The sequence below is a fragment of the Homo sapiens genome, chromosome 17 (assembly GCF_000001405.40).
Source record: "Homo sapiens chromosome 17, GRCh38.p14 Primary Assembly".
Classification (NCBI taxonomy): domain Eukaryota; kingdom Metazoa; phylum Chordata; class Mammalia; order Primates; family Hominidae; genus Homo; species Homo sapiens.
This window is the reverse complement of record NC_000017.11, coordinates 40,085,724-40,109,780: the sequence shown is the minus strand read 5'-3', so window position 1 is coordinate 40,109,780 and position 24,057 is coordinate 40,085,724. Positions and strand designations below refer to the sequence as shown.

General features: G+C 55.2%; 2 protein-coding genes across 6 annotated transcripts in view, besides 18 other annotated features; one reads left to right on the top strand and one right to left on the bottom strand.

Annotated features, from left to right (window-relative positions):
• Nucleotides 901-1,434: an enhancer, noted in NCBI's record as "H3K4me1 hESC enhancer chr17:38264600-38265133 (GRCh37/hg19 assembly coordinates)". NCBI's record gives its function as "activates a minimal SCP1, AML or CMV promoter by ChIP-STARR-seq in naive and primed H9 embryonic stem cells {active_cell/tissue: H9 hESC(naive and primed)}" and the evidence as "EXISTENCE:reporter gene assay evidence [ECO:0000049][PMID:30033119]".
• Nucleotides 1,435-1,969: an enhancer, noted in NCBI's record as "H3K4me1 hESC enhancer chr17:38264065-38264599 (GRCh37/hg19 assembly coordinates)". NCBI's record gives its function as "activates a minimal SCP1, AML or CMV promoter by ChIP-STARR-seq in naive and primed H9 embryonic stem cells {active_cell/tissue: H9 hESC(naive and primed)}" and the evidence as "EXISTENCE:reporter gene assay evidence [ECO:0000049][PMID:30033119]".
• Nucleotides 2,406-3,035: an enhancer, noted in NCBI's record as "H3K4me1 hESC enhancer chr17:38262999-38263628 (GRCh37/hg19 assembly coordinates)". NCBI's record gives its function as "activates a minimal SCP1, AML or CMV promoter by ChIP-STARR-seq in primed H9 embryonic stem cells {active_cell/tissue: H9 hESC(primed)}" and the evidence as "EXISTENCE:reporter gene assay evidence [ECO:0000049][PMID:30033119]".
• Nucleotides 5,940-6,819: an enhancer, noted in NCBI's record as "H3K4me1 hESC enhancer chr17:38259215-38260094 (GRCh37/hg19 assembly coordinates)". NCBI's record gives its function as "activates a minimal SCP1, AML or CMV promoter by ChIP-STARR-seq in primed H9 embryonic stem cells {active_cell/tissue: H9 hESC(primed)}" and the evidence as "EXISTENCE:reporter gene assay evidence [ECO:0000049][PMID:30033119]".
• Nucleotides 8,827-8,946: an enhancer, noted in NCBI's record as "active region_12128". NCBI's record gives its function as "activates an Ori minimal core promoter by ATAC-STARR-seq in GM12878 lymphoblastoid cells {active_cell/tissue: GM12878}" and the evidence as "EXISTENCE:reporter gene assay evidence [ECO:0000049][PMID:35858748]".
• Nucleotides 8,962-9,945: an enhancer, noted in NCBI's record as "H3K27ac-H3K4me1 hESC enhancer chr17:38256089-38257072 (GRCh37/hg19 assembly coordinates)". NCBI's record gives its function as "activates a minimal SCP1, AML or CMV promoter by ChIP-STARR-seq in primed H9 embryonic stem cells {active_cell/tissue: H9 hESC(primed)}" and the evidence as "EXISTENCE:reporter gene assay evidence [ECO:0000049][PMID:30033119]".
• Nucleotides 8,962-11,048: a biological region, named in NCBI's record as "BRD4-independent group 4 enhancer GRCh37_chr17:38254986-38256185".
• On the top strand, nucleotides 9,192-16,988 carry NR1D1 (nuclear receptor subfamily 1 group D member 1). Its single transcript, NM_021724.5, has 8 exons — nucleotides 9,192-9,717; nucleotides 12,378-12,716; nucleotides 13,002-13,090; nucleotides 13,194-13,338; nucleotides 13,694-14,337; nucleotides 14,661-14,846; nucleotides 15,659-15,869; nucleotides 16,499-16,988. Exons 1-8 carry the CDS (start codon nucleotides 9,687-9,689, stop codon nucleotides 16,696-16,698), a joined length of 1,845 nt encoding a protein of 614 aa, NP_068370.1. The 5' UTR covers nucleotides 9,192-9,686; the 3' UTR covers nucleotides 16,699-16,988.
• Nucleotides 9,427-9,496: an enhancer, noted in NCBI's record as "active region_12127". NCBI's record gives its function as "activates an Ori minimal core promoter by ATAC-STARR-seq in GM12878 lymphoblastoid cells {active_cell/tissue: GM12878}" and the evidence as "EXISTENCE:reporter gene assay evidence [ECO:0000049][PMID:35858748]".
• Nucleotides 9,849-11,048: an enhancer, noted in NCBI's record as "BRD4-independent group 4 enhancer chr17:38254986-38256185 (GRCh37/hg19 assembly coordinates)". NCBI's record gives its function as "activates an origin of replication core promoter dependent on BRD2, P300/CBP, MED14 and CDK7 cofactors, and independent of BRD4, by STARR-seq in HCT116 cells {active_cell/tissue: HCT116}" and the evidence as "EXISTENCE:reporter gene assay evidence [ECO:0000049][PMID:35650434]".
• Nucleotides 9,946-10,930: an enhancer, noted in NCBI's record as "H3K27ac-H3K4me1 hESC enhancer chr17:38255104-38256088 (GRCh37/hg19 assembly coordinates)". NCBI's record gives its function as "activates a minimal SCP1, AML or CMV promoter by ChIP-STARR-seq in primed H9 embryonic stem cells {active_cell/tissue: H9 hESC(primed)}" and the evidence as "EXISTENCE:reporter gene assay evidence [ECO:0000049][PMID:30033119]".
• Nucleotides 10,278-10,367: a silencer, noted in NCBI's record as "silent region_8475". NCBI's record gives its function as "represses an Ori minimal core promoter by ATAC-STARR-seq in GM12878 lymphoblastoid cells {active_cell/tissue: GM12878}" and the evidence as "EXISTENCE:reporter gene assay evidence [ECO:0000049][PMID:35858748]".
• Nucleotides 10,378-10,727: a silencer, noted in NCBI's record as "silent region_8474". NCBI's record gives its function as "represses an Ori minimal core promoter by ATAC-STARR-seq in GM12878 lymphoblastoid cells {active_cell/tissue: GM12878}" and the evidence as "EXISTENCE:reporter gene assay evidence [ECO:0000049][PMID:35858748]".
• Nucleotides 11,251-11,545: a silencer, noted in NCBI's record as "tiled region #6187; HepG2 Repressive non-DNase unmatched - State 1:Tss". NCBI's record gives its function as "represses a minimal TATA promoter and a strong SV40 promoter by Sharpr-MPRA in HepG2 cells {active_cell/tissue: HepG2}" and the evidence as "EXISTENCE:reporter gene assay evidence [ECO:0000049][PMID:27701403]".
• Nucleotides 13,387-13,526: an enhancer, noted in NCBI's record as "active region_12126". NCBI's record gives its function as "activates an Ori minimal core promoter by ATAC-STARR-seq in GM12878 lymphoblastoid cells {active_cell/tissue: GM12878}" and the evidence as "EXISTENCE:reporter gene assay evidence [ECO:0000049][PMID:35858748]".
• Nucleotides 13,537-13,646: an enhancer, noted in NCBI's record as "active region_12125". NCBI's record gives its function as "activates an Ori minimal core promoter by ATAC-STARR-seq in GM12878 lymphoblastoid cells {active_cell/tissue: GM12878}" and the evidence as "EXISTENCE:reporter gene assay evidence [ECO:0000049][PMID:35858748]".
• Nucleotides 13,667-13,856: an enhancer, noted in NCBI's record as "active region_12124". NCBI's record gives its function as "activates an Ori minimal core promoter by ATAC-STARR-seq in GM12878 lymphoblastoid cells {active_cell/tissue: GM12878}" and the evidence as "EXISTENCE:reporter gene assay evidence [ECO:0000049][PMID:35858748]".
• The window catches only part of THRA (thyroid hormone receptor alpha), a 31,675-nt gene continuing 23,531 nt past the window's right edge, over nucleotides 15,914-24,057 (bottom strand). For 2 of the 5 annotated variants that reach the window (NM_001190919.2, NM_003250.6), the window contains exons 7-10: nucleotides 22,928-23,074; nucleotides 21,281-21,539; nucleotides 20,448-20,575; nucleotides 15,914-16,761 (exon numbers count right to left, since the gene is read on the bottom strand). In NM_001190919.2, the coding sequence (NP_001177848.1) occupies nucleotides 16,399-16,761; nucleotides 20,448-20,575; nucleotides 21,281-21,539; nucleotides 22,928-23,074 (897 nt within the window). In that variant the 3' untranslated portion in view covers nucleotides 15,914-16,398. The other 3 variants (NM_199334.5, XM_047436632.1, NM_001190918.2) reach the window with 2 other exon arrangements.
• Nucleotides 17,939-18,565: an enhancer, noted in NCBI's record as "H3K4me1 hESC enhancer chr17:38247469-38248095 (GRCh37/hg19 assembly coordinates)". NCBI's record gives its function as "activates a minimal SCP1, AML or CMV promoter by ChIP-STARR-seq in primed H9 embryonic stem cells {active_cell/tissue: H9 hESC(primed)}" and the evidence as "EXISTENCE:reporter gene assay evidence [ECO:0000049][PMID:30033119]".
• Nucleotides 18,566-19,191: an enhancer, noted in NCBI's record as "H3K4me1 hESC enhancer chr17:38246843-38247468 (GRCh37/hg19 assembly coordinates)". NCBI's record gives its function as "activates a minimal SCP1, AML or CMV promoter by ChIP-STARR-seq in primed H9 embryonic stem cells {active_cell/tissue: H9 hESC(primed)}" and the evidence as "EXISTENCE:reporter gene assay evidence [ECO:0000049][PMID:30033119]".

The window sequence follows — 24,057 nt, the reverse complement described above, 5'->3', positions numbered from 1 at the left end:
TCTTTCTTTCACTCTCCCCTCACCCAGTACCTTCCACTCCTCTTTGAGATCTCAGCTACTCATTAGCCTACTACTGTTGTGCCATTTGCCCGCATTTCCAGAATCTGCACACAGGAGGCACTCAATAAATGCTTTTTACTCTGAGTCAAACTAAATCTGATTACGCCCTGTGGCTGGACTTTGAGATGAAGCAGCACAAAGGGGGAAGGTAGACATGCCCCCAGATCTTTTTTTTTTTTTTTTTTTTTGAGACAGGGTCTCACTCTGTCGCCCAGGCTGGAGTGCAGTGTGTGATCTTGGCTCATGGTAACCTCCACCTCCCAGTTCAAGGAATTCTCCTGCCTCAGCCTCCTGAGCAGCTGGGATTACAGGCACACACCACACCCGGCTAATTTTTGTATTTTTTTGTAGAGACGGGGTTTCACCATGTTGACCAGGCTGGTGTCCAATGCGTGGCCTCAAGTGATCCGCCTGCCTCAGCCTCCCAAAGTGCTGGGATTACAGGGATGAGCCACCACGCCCAGCTGACATGTCCCCAGATCTTGGGCTAGATTCTCCTAGAGGACTGATTGTTAGGGACCGAAGACCTAAAGCAGTGGGTCTCAGGCTTCCCAGAATCCCAAGGGCCTTGTTAAAACTCAGATTGCTGGGTTTTGCTCCCAGAGCTTCTGATTCAATCCACCTGGGATGGGGCCTGGGAATTTGCATTTCTAACATGTTCCCAGGTGACCCCAGATCCCTATGCTTATCTTGAGAACCACTGTCTTAGAGAACCCCAGCCCCTCCCCCCACTGTTTACCATGAGGACTTGATTGGTTCCATTTTTTTTTTTTTTTTGAGACAGGGCCTCGCTCTGTTGCCCAGGCTGGAGTGCAGTTGCATGATCTCGGCTCACTACAACCTCCGCCTCCCGGGTTCAAGCGATTCTCATGCCTCAGCCTCCCAGGTAGCTGGGATTACAGGCGCCCACTACCATGCCTGGCTAATTTTTTTTTATTTTTTGTAGAGATGGGGTTTCACCATGTTGGCCAGGCTGGTCTCGAACTCCTGACCTCAAATGATCCGCCCACGTTGGCCTCCCAAAGTGCTGGGATTACATGGTTCCAATTTTATATAGGAGGAAGGAACTGGTACCACCCTAACCAGTACAGAGATCTTAAGAGAGGGTAAGGGCAGGCGTAAGTCGGTCTCTAACTGATTATCCATTCTGTCTCTTTTTAAATAGTCCATTGATTCCATCCTTATTGAAAGTCACTTCCCCAAAACATGTTTTGCAGCAGCAACAGGAGCACTAGGAATTTCCTGTGACGAGGCAGCGCCAGTGCTGGGGAGGGGTGGAGGCAGTGCTGAGCGAGCGCCTTCCCTTGGCTCGGGCAGGGCCACGTGCCCCACCCCCTCGCTTGCACATGTCTCCACCGCCACCGCCGCAGCAGCCGGGCTGTTTATGAGCGAGTTGTTGTGGTAGAAATGGAGCAGGCTGCACATGCCCGGGCCATGTGACCCCGGCAGCCCGCGTGAGCCTCGAGCCGGCACAAACACACTGGGCCCCTTCCTCCGTGGGCCAGAGAAACAGGAGGCAAGATGAGGAAGGAGGGAAAGCGCGCGGGGCTCCCTTCTTGTCTCCTTGCGCTTTATCCTGCTTCTGTCTCCTTTTGTCTCTCCTGAGCCACCAGGGGAGCAAACACCCAGAAAAGAAACATGGTCTCCCCAAGCATATTTTCCTCCCAGGCAGCCCCTTGGTGTTTTCACAACCCAGAACCCTAAGCCTCAAAAGAACAAAGGACCTTCCCAAGCCAAGAACACAGAACAGCCCACCCCAGCCCTCATGGTGATGTGTTGATGTCTGCCCAGAGCCAAGACTTGGCTTCCCTGTAGCCTGGGCTCCCCAAATCAGGCTACCCTGTCCCCTCTTTCTAGGAAGGAGGATGACACACACACGCAGCAAGTGCCCCCTCCAGGGTTAGAACAAGGACAGTTCAGGGATTTGTGTGTTTGGGGACATGAAGCAAAGGTTCTGCAACAGTGGTCTGTGAGGTTAGTGGACCGGAAGGGGAAAGTCCCTCTGCTACTTGGAGATGGGGAAGAGCCGAGGGCTGGAGGAAACCTAGAAGGGCTTTCCCAATAACCCCTGTGTAGCTGCAGAACAAATGCGTGTGCAAAAGGCAAATTCAGCCTCCATCCCTCATTGAAGTGCCCCCTTCCATCTGCCTGGCCCTCTAACCTCCATTGGTCCTTCTCTGGGCACTCTAACCACAGACCCCCACTTCTGGCTCTCTGCTTCTGCCCCCTACTCGTGACCCCATTTCTAAGCTGCGGTGCCTCTTGCTGGGCTATGAGACTATGCTAGAGTCAGGGGGACAGTAGGTTAGCAGGAACAAGCAAATGAAATGAGCACGACCCACATTTCCTCATCGCACCAAAACTTCGCAGATCCTGCATTGCAGAGCTAGCGCTTTTTTTTTTTTTTTTTAATCTCCGCTGGGCCCCTACACACGTCTGCATTTTTGCAACCAGCACAGATTTTTTTTTTCCAGGGTGCAAACTGCGCATTCTAATGAGCCAAAGCTCCTTCCTGCGGCATTGAAAATCTCTTTGGCAAACTGCTTCTTCCCCACTCGCCCTCCCCCCAATTTAGAAGAGGAGGAGGGATCCCAAATTTGTGAAGTCGCATCCTCTCTCTCTCCTTCTCCTGCCCCCCCTCCCCCAAGATACCGCAGTCTTTCCAGCCCGACTAACAGCTGCAGACCAGGGGAGAGGAGTGAGAGGAGGGAAAGTAAGCCTTGTTCCTTCTTTCCACTCAGGCTGAGCCGGCCGGGCGGGGGTTGCTTTTTTCCCTGGGCAGCCATTGCAACCCCCCTTTCCTCCCCATCCCAGCCAGTGTTTATGTAAGCCTCCCAGAAGCTACACAAGGCCCCTAATGCCTGCCCAGGCCACCGCTCCTCCGAGGTCCATTCTGCTCACGAGGACTGTCATGAGCCTCTGGCCTCCCCAGGCAGCTAATGGTGATCTGCAGAGGCCCAAAGGATGGAGAGACACTGGATAAGGAGAGGGTTTGAGATGGAGCTTGGGATAAAGGGTAGAGATGGAAGCAGATGCAGAGCACCCCCTCTCCCTTTCCTCCACCTCCCCCACATTCTCCCTGCATCTGAGTTCTACAGAGGCTCAAGGGCAGCCAATGGGCAGGTGCAGGGGCCTGGAAGATGATACCACTGTGGCTCCAGCAGCATGGCAAAGATTGGACAGGAGGCCTTAGCAGAGCATGTACTGGATGCCAGAAAAAGGGTCATCTGGGGCTTAGTCTCCACTGCCAAGGACAATCCATGCCTCCTCCAGGATCCTGTGATGTGGGTGAGATCCTAGGTTCTGAGAGAGGGGACCCTTCTTCAGGTTCTTCAAAGCATCTGCTGAAGAAGCATTGGCCCAGGACAGTGGCTTTCGGAAGGGCTGGTTTTAGAGGTGCACGTTGCTCAAGCAGGTAAATGGGGAAGTGGGATGCTGTTTCCTTAAGGCTTTGGACACAACTTTTGTTGGTCCTTGGTGGCCTTCCACACGCTCCCTCAACCAATCTTCTTAATACAGCTCCTGGAATGAAGCACCATGGGACTTCAGAGGGCCCTGACCTACTTGCCCCACTCTCCTCACCACCAGCAGCAGACCCCAAATTCAGAGGGTTTGGGTAGAGAAGAGAGTTCAGACGCCTGTTTCTGTTAGTCACCTCTATAGCAGTCTGTGGTTTGTGCACCCTGTTCCTGCCCCTTCTACTTTTAGAACCAGATGAGGGAAATGTAGGACGGGGAGTGGGAAGAGTTTAGGGGAAGAGGAAATGTGCCTGGGGTTAAAAGAGAGATTTTGGAAAGCTGAGGTACTCCCTGGGACAGGGACAAGGGGTGCTTCAGGCTTCTGTTCTTGGTGATATATCCCACTTCCAAGCATCACCATTGCTTGGGAAACACCAGGATGAGTTTGCTGCTCAGACGTTCCCCTAGGGTGGCAGTAATCTCTCTAGGAGGGGCAGTCTTGCTAGCAGAAAGAGTTTCATCTTCACGCCTGGGGTTGAATCCCCAGCATTGCCATTTTCATTGTGACGCTGACAGTGGTAGTTCAAGAGATAGCTAGAGGGGAGATTTAGCCCCTCCAATAATCTCCATCCGCGCTATCATTCTTTGATGGACATCTTCTCAGTCTTAAGTGCTATGCAAATTACAGCTTCAAGACTAATCACCTAGACCCTCTGGCACCCTGGGCAAGTTAATAAAGTTCTCTAAGTCTCAGTTTCCCCATCTCTAAAATAAGAATGAGACCTACAGCATAGGGTTGTTGTGAATATTAAATGAGATAATGTGTACAAAACACTTTGCACAGTGCCTGGCATACGGTTGGTACTTAATACATATTTATGGTTTCCTTTCCTTGGAAAAAGCAGTAGTGAGGTAAAGATAGAATCTGAGGCAAAACACATCCATGGAACCCAGCCCTGGCTCATGCCTCGCCCTTGCTTTCTCCATCCCCCTCCCCCCACCACACTGAGAAACAAGTTAGCTCAGACTCTGTCCTTCCTGTGGCATGTTCTTAAAGTTCTCCCCAAAACATCCAGGCTTTGGGTGGGGTTGGGAAAGATAGCTGGCCTTTTAGAGACAAAGAAAAGGATTTAGGAGGGCAGGGAGTGAGTCTCTCCCAGGCACATGGCTGGTTCCCTGATTCAGGGGCATCCCCAGCATTTCTATACCAGGTTTGCATCACCTGGGCAGACAGGTTTCTACTCTGGGCAATGGTTTCTTGGTGAGAAAGGAGGGGGATGGGAAGGCATCTACAGAAGCCTGACCTGTTTCCAGCAAGGACCCACCCTCAGTCAGTCAGTCAGTCAGTCAGTCAGTCAGTCAAGCAGTTGGCCCAAGATTTAGGCCACCCAGAATTTGCACAGGGTGTTGCCCTGTTACCCAGAACAACCTACTGACAGGGAGAACAGATCTCAGATCAAACATGCACACCCACACACACAGCATTCACACTCACACACAAACATGCAGTCTCACTCATAGTCATAGAATCACACACACACACACACACACGTGCACACATACATAACTGACCAGAGCTTAGTGTTCTCAATACCTTTCCTTCTTCTCCTCTGTGTCTGCTGTCCTCTGCAGTCCAAATAAATCAAGGAAAATTAAAGACATATTTGGAAACACACAGGCAGGATCCAACACTGCCCCTAATGGGAAGGTTCGTCCCCAGAATCCCAGACTTGGGAATCCAAGTGGAAGTGTATGCAGAACCAGGGCAGTGCCTTGCTGTACCAGGTTGTGAATATGCATCTTTTCTACCTGGATCCAATCTGAGTACTATTTATGAAGAGTTAAGTGCTTTCTTGAGTTGAACTGGGCTATGGGAGAAATGGGGTGTGTGTGTGTGTGTGTAGAAGTGAACAGCAGGCCGGGCATGGTGGCTCACGCCTGCTATCCCAGCACTTTGGGAGGCTGAGGTGGGTGGATCACCTTAGGTCAGGAGTTCAAGACCAGCCTGACTAATATGGTGAAACCCCATCTCTACTAAAAATATAAAAAAAATTAGCCAGGCATTGTGGCGTGCTCCTGCAGTCCCAGCAACTTGGGACGCTGAGACAGGAGAATGGCTTAAACCCGGAAGGTGGAGGTTGCAGTGAGCCACTGCACTCCAGCCTGGGCGATAGAGTGGGACTCTGTCTCAAAAAAAAAAAGAAGTGAACAGCAATGTCCAGCTGGAGGGATAGGTGAGGAAGGTTGTGTTGAGATACACCTGTTGTCTTAAGGTCTTACAGCCAAGGTTGAGGTCAAAGAGAAACCAAGATTCTACTCCGAATCACCCAGAGCCAGACAACCCAGCCTTTCCCCCCTCCCTTTGGTGGCTTTGGGTCTCAGAGTTTCTGCCCTTCTCCCAGCAGCTGCTGACAGAGAAAGGAGCAGGGTACACAGACTGACTAGAAGCTTCTGGGGCCAAGAGAGAACCCTGCCTTTTCATTCTGTACTCCTCTCACCAGCTGTAGAAGAAAGACACCCGAATTACTTGTGAGGGAGAAAAGGAAGGGCCCTATAAGAAATGGAAAGGAAGGAAGGAAGGAGCAAGGGGGTAACCCCTCTCCTTTGCCCCCTCCCTCCCAGCCTCTGCCTTCACACCACACACAGACTGCAGAACCACCCAGGTTTTGCCAAGAGGAGAGTCAGGCTGACTGAATTTCAGCTCTCTCTACCTCTGCTCCCTCCTCCTTCTCACTGATTGCAGCAGGCGAGGAGTCTTGACCCACCCCAGCTCCCACTCCTAGAAGAACAAACATCCAGCAAGTATACAGGGGGTGGGTAGGACCTCCACAGCAGCAAACAGAGCTGTGGGCCTTGGGGAGGACCCCGGCCAAGTAAAGGGAGGGTGCTAGTGGTGGTGCTGTGCTGTGGGGAGCTAGATGCACGCCAGGGGTCCTGATTTTGAGTCCAGCCCTGACAGACACCTGGGCTCTGGCCCTGGCTCTGACTTGGAGTCAAGGTCACAGAGAGCAGGCAAGGGCAGGACAGGGCAATTCACCTCCTAGCTTTCCCTCCAGAGCCCAGAGGGTGGAGGGAGAGGGGGTGGAGGCTGAGAACCAAGTTTTCCTGAAAAGCCTCTTTCCTTGTTTGTTTTAGCCCCTCCCAGTTGCTCCCACACTCTGCTGCAGCTTCCCAACTCTGGGCCAAAGGGCCAGAGAAGAGCCCACTGCCCTCTCTCTCCCACTTTTCTTGGGAGCAGGAGAACAAAGCTAAAGCCTAGCCCATTCCAGGAAGCTCATCTTCTACAAGGAGTCAGAGGGTGAGTGGTCAAGCTCCTGCAGTCAACCTCACTGTCCTCACTACCCAGTTTACTCCTGTGCTCATATTATTATTCTTTTTTTTTTTTTCTTTTTTTGAGATGGAGTTTCGGTCTTGTTGCCCATGCTGGAGTGCACTGGCGCGATCTCAGGTCACTGCAACCTCTGCCTCCCGGGTTCAAGCAATTCTCCTGCCTCAGCCTCCCGAGTAGAGTAGCTGGGACTACAGGCGTGCGCCACCACGCCCAGCTAATTTTTGTATTTTTAGTAGAGACGAGGTTTCTCCATGTTGGCCAGGCTGGTCTCAAACTCCTGACCTCGGGTGATCCACCTGCCTCGGCCTCCCCAAGTGCTGGGATTACAGGTGTGAGCCACCACCACACTTGGCCTTTTTTTTTTTTCTTTGAGATGGACTCTCACCCTGTTGCCCAGGCTGTTGTGCAGTGGCATGATCTCGGCTCACTGCAATCTCCATCTCCTGGGTTCAAGCAATTCTCCTGCCTCAGCCTCCCGAGTGGCTGGGACTACAGGCGTGCGCCACCACGCCCAGCTAATTTTTGTATTTTTAGTAGAGATGGGGTTTCACCATGTTGGCCAGGCTGGTCTCGAACTCCTGACCTCAGGTGATCTGCCCACTTCAGCCTCCCAAAATGCTGGGATTACAGGTGTCAGCCACCACCCCCGGACTCCCATATTCTTTTTCTCTACCTTTTCGGTGGCTTTCATGTTTCCCAGGCATCCATCAATACCATCCCAGGAGCTGCCTGTGGAGAAGGGCTTCCTATGTGAAGAAAACCCTCTCTAGAAGCACTGGGACTGGGGAGGAATTAGCGGGAGCAGCAGGTGGCTCAGGCTCCCTCTCCCTTCGCTGCCTAAGAAGCTTCCATCCCCTCCATGACCCAAGCCCTCTAACATGATAGATCTCCTCTACTTGAGATCTGTTATTACTCATGGGACAGTTGCTGCTCTGAAGCGAAATACTGGCTGTTTTTTGTTTGTTTGTTTTGGAGACAGAGTCTCACTCTATCCCCCAGGCCGGAGTGCAATGGCGATCTCGGCTCACTGCAACCTCCACCTCCCGGGTTCTAGCGATTCTCCTGCCTCAGCCTCCTGACTAGCTGGGATTACAGGCACCCACCACCACATCCGGCTAATTTTTGTATTTTTAGTAGAGACGTGGTTTCACCGTGTTGGTCAGGCTGGTCTCAAACTCCTGACCTCAGGTGATCAACCCACCTCAGCCTCACAAAGTGCTGGGATTACAGGCATGAGCCAAAGCACCCGGCAATGCTGGCTGTTTCTAACCCCTGTTCAGTATTTCACTTGTACATCTACCCACCTTCCCATTCGGGGTGGGCAGATGAAACTAGCAATGGACGTCTGACCTTGGGTCGGTCACTTCTCCTAAGCTTCCTGTTCCCCACTAGTAAAAAGAGGGAGGCTTAAGATGATCTACATGTTCCCCTCTGAGTAGTAATCTTCTGTGGAATTCATATTTTATCCTCCAGCACCGAGGGGCAGGGGTGTCACTCTGCCCCCACCCCCTGCCTCACCTCTTCCCCATTACTTTAGGACCTCAAAGCACTTTCACTATTAGTTCCCCTCTGTTGTCCTTTTTATTTCCCAGACAAAGGGAAATGACTCACCCCAAAGTCAACTGGAGTGGGTGGAATGGTGTCATACAAGCAAACAGGGAGTCCCTACAGACATCCCTACCTCTGTGGGAACTCCTTCCCCTGGAGGTGTTCTCCCTAAGGCGAGTAGAAGGGAAAGGGGGTCACATTTCCTTTCCTTCTCTGGACTTTGCCCTGAAGCAGAGGGCAGCCTAAGCTCCTGACTCCAGGGAAATCTCCCTCCCCGGCTTCTCTCTCTCCCGGTCACCAGTAACCTCAGGACGAGGTCAGTCCTGCAATCACGTGAAGCCCTCACGTTTGCAAGGTTTGCAGAAAGGGCCTCTTAGCTTTGATCTCCCAGACAGCAAACAAGCTTGCCAGTCCCTCCCCAGAAATTCACATGCCCCTGCCATACAGGCTTTCTAAACACGCCACCCTGACTCTTCAGCGCACCCCACCCCACCCCACTCTCAGCTCCTCCCAGGTCCCGGCAAGCGCTTTGCCAGGCAGAAAGGGGAAAGGCACGCAGTCCGCCCACTTTGTCGGTGGACTACAAATCCCGACAGTCTTGTCGTTGCGCAGGCGCGCAAGAGCTCAACGTGCCGGCTGTTGGAAAAGTGTGTCACTGGGGCACGAGGCGCTCCCTGGGATCACATGGTACCTGCTCCAGTGCCGCGTGCGGCCCGGGAACCCTGGGCTGCTGGCGCCTGCGCAGAGCCCTCTGTCCCAGGGAAAGGCTCGGGCAAAAGGCGGCTGAGATTGGCAGAGTGAAATATTACTGCCGAGGGAACGTAGCAGGGCACACGTCTCGCCTCTTTGCGACTCGGTGCCCCGTTTCTCCCCATCACCTACTTACTTCCTGGTTGCAACCTCTCTTCCTCTGGGACTTTTGCACCGGGAGCTCCAGATTCGCCACCCCGCAGCGCTGCGGAGCCGGCAGGCAGAGGCACCCCGTACACTGCAGAGACCCGACCCTCCTTGCTACCTTCTAGCCAGAACTACTGCAGGCTGATTCCCCCTACACACTCTCTCTGCTCTTCCCATGCAAAGCAGAACTCCGTTGCCTCAACGTCCAACCCTTCTGCAGGGCTGCAGTCCGGCCACCCCAAGACCTTGCTGCAGGGTGCTTCGGATCCTGATCGTGAGTCGCGGGGTCCACTCCCCGCCCTTAGCCAGTGCCCAGGGGGCAACAGCGGCGATCGCAACCTCTAGTTTGAGTCAAGGTCCAGTTTGAATGACCGCTCTCAGCTGGTGAAGACATGACGACCCTGGACTCCAACAACAACACAGGTACTGAGATTTCTTTACTATCATCTTTTCCCTGTCACTGTCTCCCCACCTCCATCTACGCCTTATAAAAAGAGGAACTTTGTAAGGGACTGGGGTGTCCCTCGGCCCGGAGATTTGCTAACGTGCTGCGGTGCTTTAGTGTGGGATTTCCAGAGCGGCTTGTTCGGGCTGGAAATGCTCTCAGAAACGCCCCATCACCACCCCTCAGAGTCCCAAAGCTCCCTTGAGCCTCGAATCCCTGGGCAGGAGGAAATGGAGAGGAGGTACGGGTGGTGAAGCGAAGAATTTAGGGGGACTGGGAGCTTTGGAACAGTGCCCCGAAACGGCCCCATCTGTCCACTACCTGCAGCTGTAGTATGCCTGGCCTCAGAAAACGGACCCCCTCCCCTCTTGTCTTCCCCCTCCTCTAGTTCCTGCAGGCGCGAGGGAATCTGAGAAGAGTGGCGCGATGGGGTTCAGGGAAGGAGGGGCTGGGAGAATCGTTCGGATCTCACTGGGGAATCCTCAGTGACAGGAGGGAGCGACACTTGAGGAGTCCAGAGCGTGGTGCCCGGCCCGAGGGAGGGCACCTACAGGGCTCCGGCCGCCGGGAGGGCTCACATGGCTCTAGAGCCGGGCCCACGTGCTGCGTTTGTTTTCATTCAGCAGAAGCCGTGGCTGCCACCCCATTGGTCGTTGCCTCCCGGCCTCGTTACATAATGAGCTCCGCCCCCCCGGTCGCCCCGGCAACGCGTGTTCCCTTCTCTCCTCCCCTAGGTTGTCCTGGCCCTGCTATCGTTCGGGGTCCAGCCCACGACCTGGTGGCCGGGGAAGGGCGGGTAGGAGGCGGGGCGACTGCTCTCGATTGACGGGAAGCGAGGAGGGCGGGGCCTCGAGTTCCGGGGTTCCTCGTTGGGGAGCCACGTGCGAGAGGCACACGTGGAGCAGGGACGTGAGGCCGGCTGAGGGCCCAGCTCCCGCCCTGCCCCGCCCCGCCGAGATCTGGGTGAAGCTGGGCTGACTCACCGCCCCCGCCTGCCTCCTTTTCCGGTCCGCCTGCCCGGCCCCCTCCCCCATCACCAAAACAAAGTAACATGGAGCCATTCCTGACCTTTCATGGCCTTCTGTTTTACACTCCCTAAAGAGACCTCACCCCTAACCACCCTTCTCACTCCTTTCCACTTCACTCTTATTTGCACCTACTTCACCGTACTGCATTTAGACTCAGCTTCCCCACATTACAAATTCCTGTTCCCCAAGCTTCTCTCTCCTTAGTTCTGCGAGCATTGTCTTACCCCCATCTCCACCAGACAAGCTGCAGTTTGCCTACTAAGGGCTCCCCAAAGCAACTGCACCCCACAATCATAGCTGAAATGATACTGTCCTTTTTTTCTCACAGAAAGGAAAACTGAGACCCAAAGAGGGGAGTTGATGTCCTCTAGGTCACAAAATAAGTTGGTAGTGATGGGTCTAGACCTAGACCTAGACTCTTGAGTATGCTCCTCACTTCCACGTTGGAAGCCTCTGCATGAAGGTCTCACTCCTTTTTGGGGGATGGGTGAACTAGGTCAACTTCATTTACTGCCAACTAATGATTCCATCCCCCACCTCAGCCCTGAAACCGGGGGAGCTGATCTGTTGTGCAACTATTTTCCAAGGAGCTGGGTTCACCCTGACCAACCTTGAGCTATTTTAGGGCCGCCCTGCCCAGTTCAGTGTGTGTCAGTGGGTGAGCAAGACATGTGCCTCTGCAGACACAGTGGCATGGCATGTGTTAGGTCACATGTGTCCTGGGATCCTCCCTTCTCCCACCCCGCCCATGGCAGACCAATCTAGGTGCTTGCCGGAGGTGTGGCAGGCAGGTCACCTTTTTCTCCTGCTAATACCACGGGAGCACAGCCACCTCATTGGCAATGTAACCAGAGGGTCAAAGTCCCTGAATGGCCAGAGAGCCAAGGTCATTGTTACCAGGCTGAGATCTGAAGGGGGAATTTTAGAGCCCCAGGCTGGACAGTTTGTACTTCCACCTCCTGCAACTCGCACCTCGAAGTCCTTTTTGGACACAGGGATAGACTCCACTGTGGCTCACTCTCTTAAGAGGCCAGGGGAACCAGGCTGGGCAGATTCCTTCCCTTCATTTCCTTCAGAGAATATATGTCCCCAACTGGGGGGAATGTGACTGTCTTACTTTTGTAAACCCTCCATTCTCTTTACTGTTGGCTACCTATCTCTCCATGGTCCATGGTCTCATTCCTGGAATGGTCTTAGTGTTAAAATCAGCAGCTGGGTTTTTGTTTTTGGAGGACTGGGCACTTTGAATGGTGCTCAGCTGCCCATCCCATCCCCAGATCTTCAACTGACAACTAAGTCATTAGCTGCAGTCGATATTCCCAAGGAAGGCAACTAAGGAAGGGGGGCACATATGCGAGATGCCACAGGGGTCATGCCTCATACTGAAAGCAGAAGCTGAAGGTGGCCTGCAAAGGGTCGTAGGTGTTGCTTGGCCATGCCATGTCTACTGTGTGTTGGGGAATTGCTTATTAACTCCAAGATTAGGGGCTCCACATGGTGAACTGAGTGGCCAGCAATGTTTTGGGCAGACAGGTGGGGATGAGCACAGTGGCACCCTAGGTCCGGAGACATGGCGGCTGACACCCCCTTTCCTTTTGTTCTCTCTCCAGGTGGCGTCATCACCTACATTGGCTCCAGTGGCTCCTCCCCAAGCCGCACCAGCCCTGAATCCCTCTATAGTGACAACTCCAATGGCAGCTTCCAGTCCCTGACCCAAGGCTGTCCCACCTACTTCCCACCATCCCCCACTGGCTCCCTCACCCAAGACCCGGCTCGCTCCTTTGGGAGCATTCCACCCAGCCTGAGTGATGACGGCTCCCCTTCTTCCTCATCTTCCTCGTCGTCATCCTCCTCCTCCTTCTATAATGGGAGCCCCCCTGGGAGTCTACAAGTGGCCATGGAGGACAGCAGCCGAGTGTCCCCCAGCAAGAGCACCAGCAACATCACCAGTGAGTACCTTTCCAGCTGATTCGGGGGAAGGGAAGCAGGCCAGGGCCAGATTGGGAATGGGTTTTTACGTGACACCAGTCTTGCCAGGACCTATTCTGGCTTCAGGGATTTCTCCTAGAGTGGCACCAGCCCCTCTTCAGCCCAGTTTTGTCACTCCAGTGCCCCTCAACACTGGAGTTCCTCCTTAGCTTTTCCCTCCCTGGATCTCCGGCCCAGAAAGCCTCCACACCTGTGGCCACTCAGCCTGGCCTCTCCTGCTCACCTGCTGCCCGTCTCTTCCACAGAGCTGAATGGCATGGTGTTACTGTGTAAAGTGTGTGGGGACGTTGCCTCGGGCTTCCACTACGGTGTGCACGCCTGCGAGGGCTGCAAGGTGAGGCGGACTGGGGGTAAGGGCAGGGGCAGGTGGCCCCCTCCCCCTGGACACAGAGGCCCAGCCATGATGGAGGTGGTCACTAACCACCCCTGCCCTCCAGGGCTTTTTCCGTCGGAGCATCCAGCAGAACATCCAGTACAAAAGGTGTCTGAAGAATGAGAATTGCTCCATCGTCCGCATCAATCGCAACCGCTGCCAGCAATGTCGCTTCAAGAAGTGTCTCTCTGTGGGCATGTCTCGAGACGGTGAGGCAGCATCCCCACATCCTCCCCCCTTCTTCCGCCCAAAGTTTCTGAATTAATCCTTCCCTTTAAAAAAGTCACAAATGGAGACACATCATACTGTGAATCACATGTGCCAGGGGATGTCCATCCTTCATTTGCTTGGGTCAACATATACTTCTATCCCATTGGTCCCTCGGGTCACCTCCTACCAGCAATCCCTCCTAGGGAAACCCCCTTGATGGGTGGGGACTTGCTGGTTTTAGTTTTGATGTGAAACCCCAAGCCTTCAGGGCCTTGCCCTTTCAGGAGGAAGGAAGGAAGAGAAGCACGTGAGCATGGTTGAGAACTTCCTGATGCTGTTCTCATCCTGTTGCAGCTGTGCGTTTTGGGCGCATCCCCAAACGAGAGAAGCAGCGGATGCTTGCTGAGATGCAGAGTGCCATGAACCTGGCCAACAACCAGTTGAGCAGCCAGTGCCCGCTGGAGACTTCACCCACCCAGCACCCCACCCCAGGCCCCATGGGCCCCTCGCCACCCCCTGCTCCGGTCCCCTCACCCCTGGTGGGCTTCTCCCAGTTTCCACAACAGCTGACGCCTCCCAGATCCCCAAGCCCTGAGCCCACAGTGGAGGATGTGATATCCCAGGTGGCCCGGGCCCATCGAGAGATCTTCACCTACGCCCATGACAAGCTGGGCAGCTCACCTGGCAACTTCAATGCCAACCATGCATCAGGTAGCCCTCCAGCCACCACCCCACATCGCTGGGAAAATCAGGGCTGCCCACCTGCCCCCAATGACAACAACACCTTGGCTGCCCAGCGTCATAACGAGGCCCTAAATGGTCTGCGCCAGGCTCCCTCCTCCTACCCTCCCACCTGGCCTCCTGGCCCTGCACACCACAGCTGCCACCAGTCCAACAGCAACGGGCACCGTCTATGCCCCACCCACGTGTATGCAGCCCCAGAAGGCAAGGCACCTGCCAACAGTCCCCGGCAGGGCAACTCAAAGAATGTTCTGCTGGTAAGGGCATGGGGGCGGGCGAGTGCGTTAAGAAGATTGGGGGGGCCTGGCAGAATGGACTTAGTGTAGGGCAGCTGGGGGTTCCTGGAGGCTGAGTGTGGGGATAGCATCTTCCCAGGAGAAAATGTCTTGCCTTGCAGTCTGGACTCTGCCTGGGAATCCCTAATCTCCACCTGGCACCTAATTGCTACTTTATCTGAAAGACCCATCCTTCAGGGCCACAGCCCCTAGCCCAGGCAGAATCTGGGGTCCAGCTCTGCTCGGGGCGTCCATCTGACCCAGCCTGGCTGACACTCCCCTCCTTCAATCTTTTCCTCCCCCAGGCATGTCCTATGAACATGTACCCGCATGGACGCAGTGGGCGAACGGTGCAGGAGATCTGGGAGGATTTCTCCATGAGCTTCACGCCCGCTGTGCGGGAGGTGGTAGAGTTTGCCAAACACATCCCGGGCTTCCGTGACCTTTCTCAGCATGACCAAGTCACCCTGCTTAAGGCTGGCACCTTTGAGGTGAGTGACCGTTTATGCTTCTGGTTTTTGTTTTTTTTGAGACAGAGTTTCGCTTGTCGCCCAGGCTGGAGTGCAATGGTGCGATCTCCACTCACTGCAACCTCCACCTCCTGGGTTCAAGCAATTCTCCTACCTCAGCCTTCCAAGTAGCTGGGATTACAGGTTCCCGCCACCACGCTTGGCTAATTTTTATATTTTTATTAGAGACAGGGTTTCGCCATGTTGGCCAGGCTGGTCTCAAACTCCTGACCCCAGGTGATCTGCCCGCCTTGGACTCCCAAAGTATTGGGATTACAGGCGTGAGCCATTGCACCCAGACGCTTCCTGCTTTTGACCTTGGGAAGGATCCAACAGAAAGCCCTGCTGTCTGGGGTGGGCAGGACCTCTGAAAGGTTTTGGAACCCAGTATCTTTGTCCTTATAGCCTGATTGGTGAAAGGGGCTGAGCGGCTCCTGCTGCTTCCTCTTGATGGCTGGGACTTCTGTCATCTCAGCTGGAATTTAATCACAACCCATTACACTGAAATAATGCCTTGGGTGCACTGCTGCCCCCATTCTAGACAAGAGCAGATTAACTTTGGTGAATGCCTTGCCCAAGGTCACAGGTAGTGACAAAGCTGACACTCAGATTCAGGCTTATTGGATCCCAAAGCCATCCTTCCACCTGGGCTCCCTCATTGGCCATTCAGAAACAACCCCCACTCTACTGAGAAATCGAAGGCAGCACCGCTAAACCCTCTGGCAAACTACAGGGGCGATTTGGTCAGTGCTCCTCCCACCACACCCAGGATGACTGTTCCCCTTCCCTCCTAGGTGCTGATGGTGCGCTTTGCTTCGTTGTTCAACGTGAAGGACCAGACAGTGATGTTCCTAAGCCGCACCACCTACAGCCTGCAGGAGCTTGGTGCCATGGGCATGGGAGACCTGCTCAGTGCCATGTTCGACTTCAGCGAGAAGCTCAACTCCCTGGCGCTTACCGAGGAGGAGCTGGGCCTCTTCACCGCGGTGGTGCTTGTCTCTGCAGGTAGGTCAGGCTCTCGCCTGACCCGGGGGAGGAGGCAGACGCAGTTCAATTCAACACACCTTTTATGGAGTACCTACTCTATGCCAGGCCCTGCACCGGGCACTGGGGATACAGACATGATTCAGACACAGTCTAGCTTGGGAAACAGACTCATGCCCGACTAATTATAAAACAGTGAGATAAGTGTCACAGTAGAAGCATGAACCAAGGAAGCACAGACAACTATTTCTGCCTGGGGGAGCTGGGGAAGGAGGTGACACTTGAGTTGGGGCCTCAAAGGACAAGTAAGATGTTGCCAGGCAGAGAAAGGGGGAAGGGCATCCCAGGCAGAGGGAACTACACAGCAAAAAGCAAGGGAGTCTGGCCATGTTTGGCCTGCTGAGGAAGGGAAGGTGGTCTTACGGGATGGGAGGTGACCAGCCCTGCTGAGCCCACGCTCCCAGCTTTCAGGCACCTCCTGCTCTTGGGGCAGAGGCCTGGGAGAAGGTATGGCACTCCTTCTCCTTCCCCATCGGCCTTCTGGGGGGCTTCAGGGAGAGGCTGCATTGCCTGCCAGGTCCTCGCAGACCTCCGGTTCCTCCTCAGAGGAGCTCGGGGAGTCCGCCTCACTGCTGTCGTCTTCCCCACAGACCGCTCGGGCATGGAGAATTCCGCTTCGGTGGAGCAGCTCCAGGAGACGCTGCTGCGGGCTCTTCGGGCTCTGGTGCTGAAGAACCGGCCCTTGGAGACTTCCCGCTTCACCAAGCTGCTGCTCAAGCTGCCGGACCTGCGGACCCTGAACAACATGCATTCCGAGAAGCTGCTGTCCTTCCGGGTGGACGCCCAGTGACCCGCCCGGCCGGCCTTCTGCCGCTGCCCCCTTGTACAGAATCGAACTCTGCACTTCTCTCTCCTTTACGAGACGAAAAGGAAAAGCAAACCAGAATCTTATTTATATTGTTATAAAATATTCCAAGATGAGCCTCTGGCCCCCTGAGCCTTCTTGTAAATACCTGCCTCCCTCCCCCATCACCGAACTTCCCCTCCTCCCCTATTTAAACCACTCTGTCTCCCCCACAACCCTCCCCTGGCCCTCTGATTTGTTCTGTTCCTGTCTCAAATCCAATAGTTCACAGCTGAGCTGGCTTCTGTGGTGTGTGCTCGTTTGGGGGGTGGGGTGGAAATACTGCCAAGGCTGGGGGGGGCCACCTCTCCATCTGGTCAGTTTGTGGGGTGGGTACTCTGCCAGCAGATGGGAGGATATAGGGAAACAGCACACAAGTCTAAGGGGGGTGCCCAAGGGGGTTATTTTCATCATATATTTATTACATAAATATATAGTAAAATAGACGAGCAACAATTACCATAAAAATATCTTTCTTTAAAATCCTGACCCAAAACACAACGGGGTGAAAAATCGCACATAACAGACATACTGATTGTCAACGTGGGGCAGGAGTAGGAGCCCCTCAAGTCACCCCTGCCGGTCCCACCCCTCCCTGGGGAAGAGACCTACCTCCTTCCCTGTTTCTGGCCACAACCCCCCTCCCCCCAGCCCAGCACCAGCTTCTCATACATTCAGTAGCGCCTCTGGGCAGTGTCCCCCTCCCCCCCGCCCAGGAGTTCCCAGGGCAGGAGTTACTGTCCTCCTTATGGACGGTCTCTCTCTCACAACGCCCTGCCCTCTCCCAGCCCTGCAGACCCGCCACCAGGAGAAGGGGTAGGGGCTCCTCCCCCACCCTCCCCAAGTCTGAGCAGGGAGGAGGCTGGATGAGGTATGTGTGTTATGAGTGATGGGAGGGGCAATACTGAGATGGAGAGGCGGGTGGTGGGGGCGGGGTAGTGGTCATGGCTCTGGCAACCCCTTGTCCTGGCCTGGCCCCCTCGTCCTATTCCCAGCAACCCGTCCTCCCACCGATACTGCACCTGCTGCTCCACCCTGCCTGCCCTAGTGCCCCGGGCCAATACTGGGGGAGGCATGCTGAGCACCCACATCAAGGCCATCCCCCTCATTAGCACCAATGGCCCCCAGGAGAGGGCCCTGTCCCCCACTTCCACAGCAGGGACTGGGACAGCTGCCGCTCTAGAGCAGGTGCGTGGCACTCCTGAGTCGCCCTGGCTCCTCCCCTACCATGTGTACTCACTCACACATTCACGCAGAGGAACGCACACATACACCCCACATCACCGAGGGGGAAGGGAGGGGTCCGGGGAGGATGGGATCACAGCTCATATGATTGGGGAGGGTGGGGGAGTCCCAAGTGCCTATAAGAGGCTAAGGCTCTTCAAGGCCTTTTCTCTGCCGTGTCCATGGCTGAGAATGGGGATGGAGGGGTTGGGGTGGGGATGGAGGGATGGGGAAGACAGCAGACAGGTCAGGAATTCCACTGGGCCCCCAGGCGTGGTAGGAAGGTACAAGAGGGCCTACCCATGGGACTGGAGTAATACAGGATTCAGTACTCCAGGAGAGAGAGAGAGGATAGAGACAAAGACAGCGCGGGCAGCCCGAGGCCCCAGCAGGGTGGGACAGGCACATGCACAGGTGACAGCGGGTGCTCCTCCAGGCCCTCCACCCCTGTTGGAACACCTGAACGATTGGGGAAGGACAGTGCCCTGACGGGCAGCATAGCATTGCCTTCCCATGTCCGTGTGTGCATGTCCGTGTGTGTGTGTGTGTGTGTGTGTGTGTGTGTGTGTGTGTAGGGGGCTGTGGCAGGCTGAGGGTCAGGGTGGGGTGGCAGGTTCCCCACTGCTTAAGACATTTTTGCCCCAATAGTGCAAAGCGCAGGAAGCCCTGGCACCCCTCCCCCCACCCCCTGCCCCAATCCCCATGGCTTCCGGGGGCATCTGTGTCCACCCATCCATCCCTGCCGACATGCAGCCCTGAGCCCAGCACCCTCTGGTCTGCTCTGTCCCACCCCACCTCCTGCTCCCATGGGAGGACCACCTCCTCTCTCCCTCTCTCCCCTGAGGAGTGGGCGGCAGCCACAGGGAGGGGGAGGAGGACAGCTCACCCAAGTGCAGACCAACAGAGCACCCTCACCAGGAGGGCGAGAGGGGCTCAAGCCAAAGTCCCTGAATTAGAGAAAAGAAGAGGGGAAGGGGTCCCGGGGCAGAGGGGCAGCTGGCCAAAAGAGCTTTAAAGAAAAAGGAGCACCGACCACCCCTCCCCTGGGGCCCCAACTAAGTGTCACTTATCTAAACACCCCCATTCTGGTACCTGCCCGCCCAGAGTTAGTGCAGTGAGTAGGAGCTGGGGAGGAGGGCAGAGGTTAGAGAGAGCCCAGAAGACAGATGGGAAACAGGGAAACAGAGTGCTAAAGGGGTGGAGGGTTCTGGGAGACGCTCACGCACAGCCCTCCTACCCCCGACCCAACCAATGCAGCAGCATCCGGTTTCTAGCTAATACTGCAGGATATAAGGAGGGTAGGAGTTGGAGCCACAGTTTTTTCCTGGGTGGGTGCCAAGGTGTGGAAGGAGGAGGTGGATGGGGAGAGGCCCCTAGGGCTGGGCACTTAAAGGGGAGCTGTGTGGGCAGCAGGGCAGGCTGGTGAGGGGCCAGCTGGCATCCAGCATGAGAGGTAGATGGAACTCAGCGGGCACGAGTGGCAGAAAGCAGAGGACATACTAGGGTTGGGGGGTGCCAAAGGGGCACAGAGGGCGGGGTATGGCAAGGGGGGTGGCCAGGACCCTGTTGTGTTAACTCACAGCTCTGATCGGCAGCCCTACCCTTGGGGCTCTGGTGTGGGGGCATTTCTCTCTGATGTGGGGGAAGAAGGGGCAGCTCGCAAAGTGCATGGGGTGGTAAAGGGGGGGTCCTCCCCTCTGGTCAGCCTCAGTTAATAACTTAATATCATCTCTCTCTATCGCTCGCTCTCTCTTTTTTGTATTTTTCTCTCTGTCTAGTTTTTCTTCATTTGTCTTCTCCCCTTGCTTGGTTTCCAAAGTGCAGTTAGAATGACTATAAATTTTAACCTCCAGAGGAGGAGCCAAGCCAAGCCGTTCTTTGCACCCAGGCATCTGGGGAAGTAGAGAGGCCCTCAGCCTGGAGGGGAGACCTAGGCCAAGGAACTGGGTGGGGGCTCTCTCTCATGTGTGTGTAGGGGGTGAGTTGAGGGCATCTTCCCCCAGCCCACATTCCTCCTTCCCCTACGGTCAAGGTGGCTTGTCCCTTCTCAATCCTCCCGCCCTTCCCCTACCTTCTGAGAGGATGGGGTCCTGGGAACTGCAGGACACAGCTCCCCCAGCCTCCCACACTGTCCTTTCCATAGCAAGTTCAGTTGTTTGCCCTGTCCCAGGGCTGGAGGTCTGAGGAGGGACCTGGGCAGTGCGGGTGTGTGTGTGGGAGCTGAATCTATCCAAGGACGAGAGGAAGGAGAGAAGGGGTGTGGGGGGGTCTCCCTCAGCCCCCAGCTCTGCCCCTTCTCTCCAGGCTCCTCCCCACCAGCTCCGCACACCCTCTGGCCGCCTGAGGCTTTAGACTTCCTGATCCTCAAAGACCTCGAGGAAGAGTGGGGGGAAGAGTTCGGTGGGGCACTCGACTTTCATGTGGAGGAAGCGGCTGGCGTGGCAGGCCCCGATCATGCGGAGGTCAGTCACCTTCATCAGCAGCTTGGGCCAGAAGTGCGGAATGTTGTGTTTGCGGTGGTTGACGTAGTGCTCGAACGCCAGCAGGTACGCCTCCTGACTCTTCTCGATCTTGTCCACACACAGCAGGCCCGAGCGGTCTGTGAGGGAAGAGGGGCGTGAGGGGCGAGGGGCTGGCCGAAGGCCTGGAGATGGGGAGGGTGAGGTGTGGGGACGTGGGAAGAAAGGACTAGAGGGGAGATAGAGGCAGAGAGGCTGGGGGAGGGGAGGGGAGAAGCTCCCCCTGAGAGACGTGGACAGGAGAAGCACAGGGAGAGGGAGGCAGCTGGGAAGTGGAGAGGGGCAGGGGGGTACTGGGGGGAGGGGGCAATGCAAGGAGGACAGAGGGACAGGCCGGGGGCTGGGGGAGAGAGAGGAGCCTTGGAGTGGGGAGGACTGAGGTTGGTGGTCAGAGAGGCGGGGTGCAGATGGGGTTAGGGAGGGGACTGAGGGGTAAGAGATGGGACTGGGAGACAGAGGAGGGATGAGGGGATGGAAGGTGGCTGAGAACAAAGTGGGGAGTGGGGAACAAAGGGGAATGTGAGTGACAGAGGGACAGGGCAGCGAGAAGGAAGGAGACAAAGACAGGAAAAGGCACAGAGCAGGGATGGGGAGGCAAGGGATGGGCCTGGGGAACGAGTGAGAAGTGTGTGACAGAGCAAGGAACAGGGGATAGGGGATGGCCCAGGTGACAGAGAGGTAGCCCAGAAGAAGATTCAGGAGGGAGTTGAGCAACAGGCCCAGGGTCCAGCCAATCTCTGGGACCCCTGGAAGCTTCTGAGCCCTCCCGACTAATCAGCAGGTACCTGTTGACATTAGCAGCACAGCCTGCAGCAGAGCCACTTCCGTGTCATCCAGGTTAAAGGCAGAGAGTGACTTGCCCAGTTCAAAGATGGCGTCGGAGACTACGCCCAGGCCGCCATTCTTGAGCTGCTCCCGCTTGACAGCCATCTCCCCACTCAGCGTCAGGGTGTCGCTCTCAGGGTCGTAGCGGACAGCCGCCCGCAGGGACATGATCTCCATGCAGCACCCCTTCAGGAGGATGATCTGGTCTTCGCAAGGCAGCTGTGGAGCGGCAGGGCCACAGGAGCACTCAGCATACCCCTCCCCGCGTCCTTGAGTCTCCCCTAGAGTGTCCTACGGGAGCCGTGAGGCCCGCAAGGCCCCCATGGACTCTGAACGGCTGACCTTGTATTGGGCCATGTGCATGCCCTATTCCATTTAAGCCTCACAGTTATGCCTGTGAGGCCCGGCGCAGTGGCTCACGACTATAATGCCAGCACTATGGGAGGCCAAGGCGGGTGGATCACTTGAGGTCAGGAGTTCGAGACCAGCCTGGCCAACATACATGGTGAAACCCATCTCTACTAAAAATACAAAATTAGTTGGGCGTGGTGGCACATGCCTGTAGTCCCAGCTACTCAGGAGGCTAAGGCAGGAGAATTGCTTGAACTCAGGAGGCGGAGGTTGCAGTGAGCCCAGATCGCGTCACTGCACTCCAGCCTGGGTGACAGAACGAAAATCTGTCTCAAAAAAGAAAAAAAAATTATGCCTGTGAGTTAGCACCCATCATTATCCCCAGCCCACTCCAGATGGGAACACTGAGGCACAGGGGATGGAGGTAACTTACCCCAGGTCACATGGCTAGTAGGGCAGCCTGTCTCCAGCACTAGTGCTCTGGAAAATGAGAACTTTCAGGCTGCCTGGAGTTGGGTGGCCGCATAGACTTGAAGGATGAGGGGCTGTGGAGGGGAGCACTTGGAGCCGGCTGATTTCTTAGAGCAGCCAGACCTTGGCGTGTGTCTGTATGCTGTGTGTGTGTGCCTGTGTGTTTGTGTGTGTGTCTGTATGTATCTATGTGTGTGTCTGCTAGGTGTGTGTGTGTGTGTGTGCCTGTGTGCTGGGTGTGTCTGTGTGTGTGTGTCTGTGTGCTAGGTGTGTGTCTATGTATCTGTGTGTCTGTGTGCTAGGTGTATATGTCTGTGTGTGTGTGTGTGTCTGTATCTGTGTGTGTGTGTCTATGTATCTGTGTGGCTGTGTGCTAGGTGTGTGTGTGTGTGTGCCTGTGTGCTGGGTGTGTGTCTGTGTGTGTGTGTGTGTCTGTGTGCTGGGTGTATATGTCTGTGTGTGTTTCTATGTATCTGTGTGTGTGTTTGTGTACTAGGTGTGTGTGTGTCTGTGTGCTGGGTGTATGTGTGTGTGTATGTGTGTCTGTGTACGTATCTGTATGCTAGGTGTGTGTGTGTGTCCGTGTATGTGTCTGCATGTGTGCCTGTGTGCTGGGTGTATGTGTATGCATGTGTGTGTGTGTGTCTGTGTATGTTATCTGTGTATGTTGACCTACAGGAATTGCTCCTTGTCCAGAGAACCTCAGATGAGCCTGTACTGGGTGACCGGGGGAGCAGGTTTCCCTCCAGCACAGCATCACATCTCTCCCCACTTCTGCCACTCACCTCGGAGAACATGGGCAGTTTTTTGGCAAAGTCCACCACACGGGTGATGGCCGGGGTGATGATCTTGGTAAACTCGCTGAAGGCTTCCAGGTCCACCTTGTCTCCGTCCGGCATGGAGACAATGGGTGACTGGCCAATGTCATCGGGCTAGAGAGAAAGACGGGGGTCAGCTGGGGCCGCAGACCCCTTTCAGCCTCTCACTGAGGCTCCCTGCCCACCAGGGGGAGCTCCAAGGCAGCTTGGGGAAGAGGGGCCGCCCGTGCCTGAGTCCCAGGCCCAAAGCTTTTCCTTCATCTTGAGCAGAGAATAGACCAGAACCAGAGCTCCAAGTCAGCTAATAATAACAACGGTAGTAACAGTAGTAGCAGCTATAATGACTGAATACTTAATATATGATCAGGCATCAGGCTACATGTTTTACATGTCTTATTTCATCCTGACCATAATCCTAAAAGGAATAATTATAATAATCACCATTTCACAGATGTGGAAACTGAGGCATGGGGCAGCTAAATAATAAGGTTAAAGTCATATGACCAGCAAGTGGTAGGACCAGGGTTTGAACTTGGGCAGTCTGACTCGTGACTGTTACACATCTGCTTGGAATCAGAGCCCGTGCCCTTAACAGTGTGCACTGTGCCACCCCCCGGCATGCTCCACCATGAACCAGGTGCTGGTTTTCTGCCTTCCTTCACCACGTATAGCCAACTGTCCATCTCCTCCCAAACTGATCATATTTTTTGAGAGAGGGTCTTGCTCTGTTGCCTGGGCTGGAGTGCAGCGGTGTAATCATGGCTTACTGCAGCCTCGACCTCCCAGGCTTAGGGGATCCTCCTGCCTCAGCCTCCCGAGTAGCTGGGACCACAGGCACACACCCCCATGCCCAGCTAATTTTAAAATTATTCGTAGAGAGGCCGGGAGCAGTAGCTCACACCTGTAATCCCAGCACTTTGGGAGGCCAAGGCAGGCAGATCACCTGAGGTTGCGAGTTCAGACAAGCCTGACCAACATGGAGAAACACCGTCTCTACTAAAAATACAAAATTAGCCGGGCGTGGTGGCGCACGCCTGTAATCCCAGCTATTTGGGAAGCTGAGGCAGGAGAATCGCTTGAAGCCGGGAGGTAGAGGT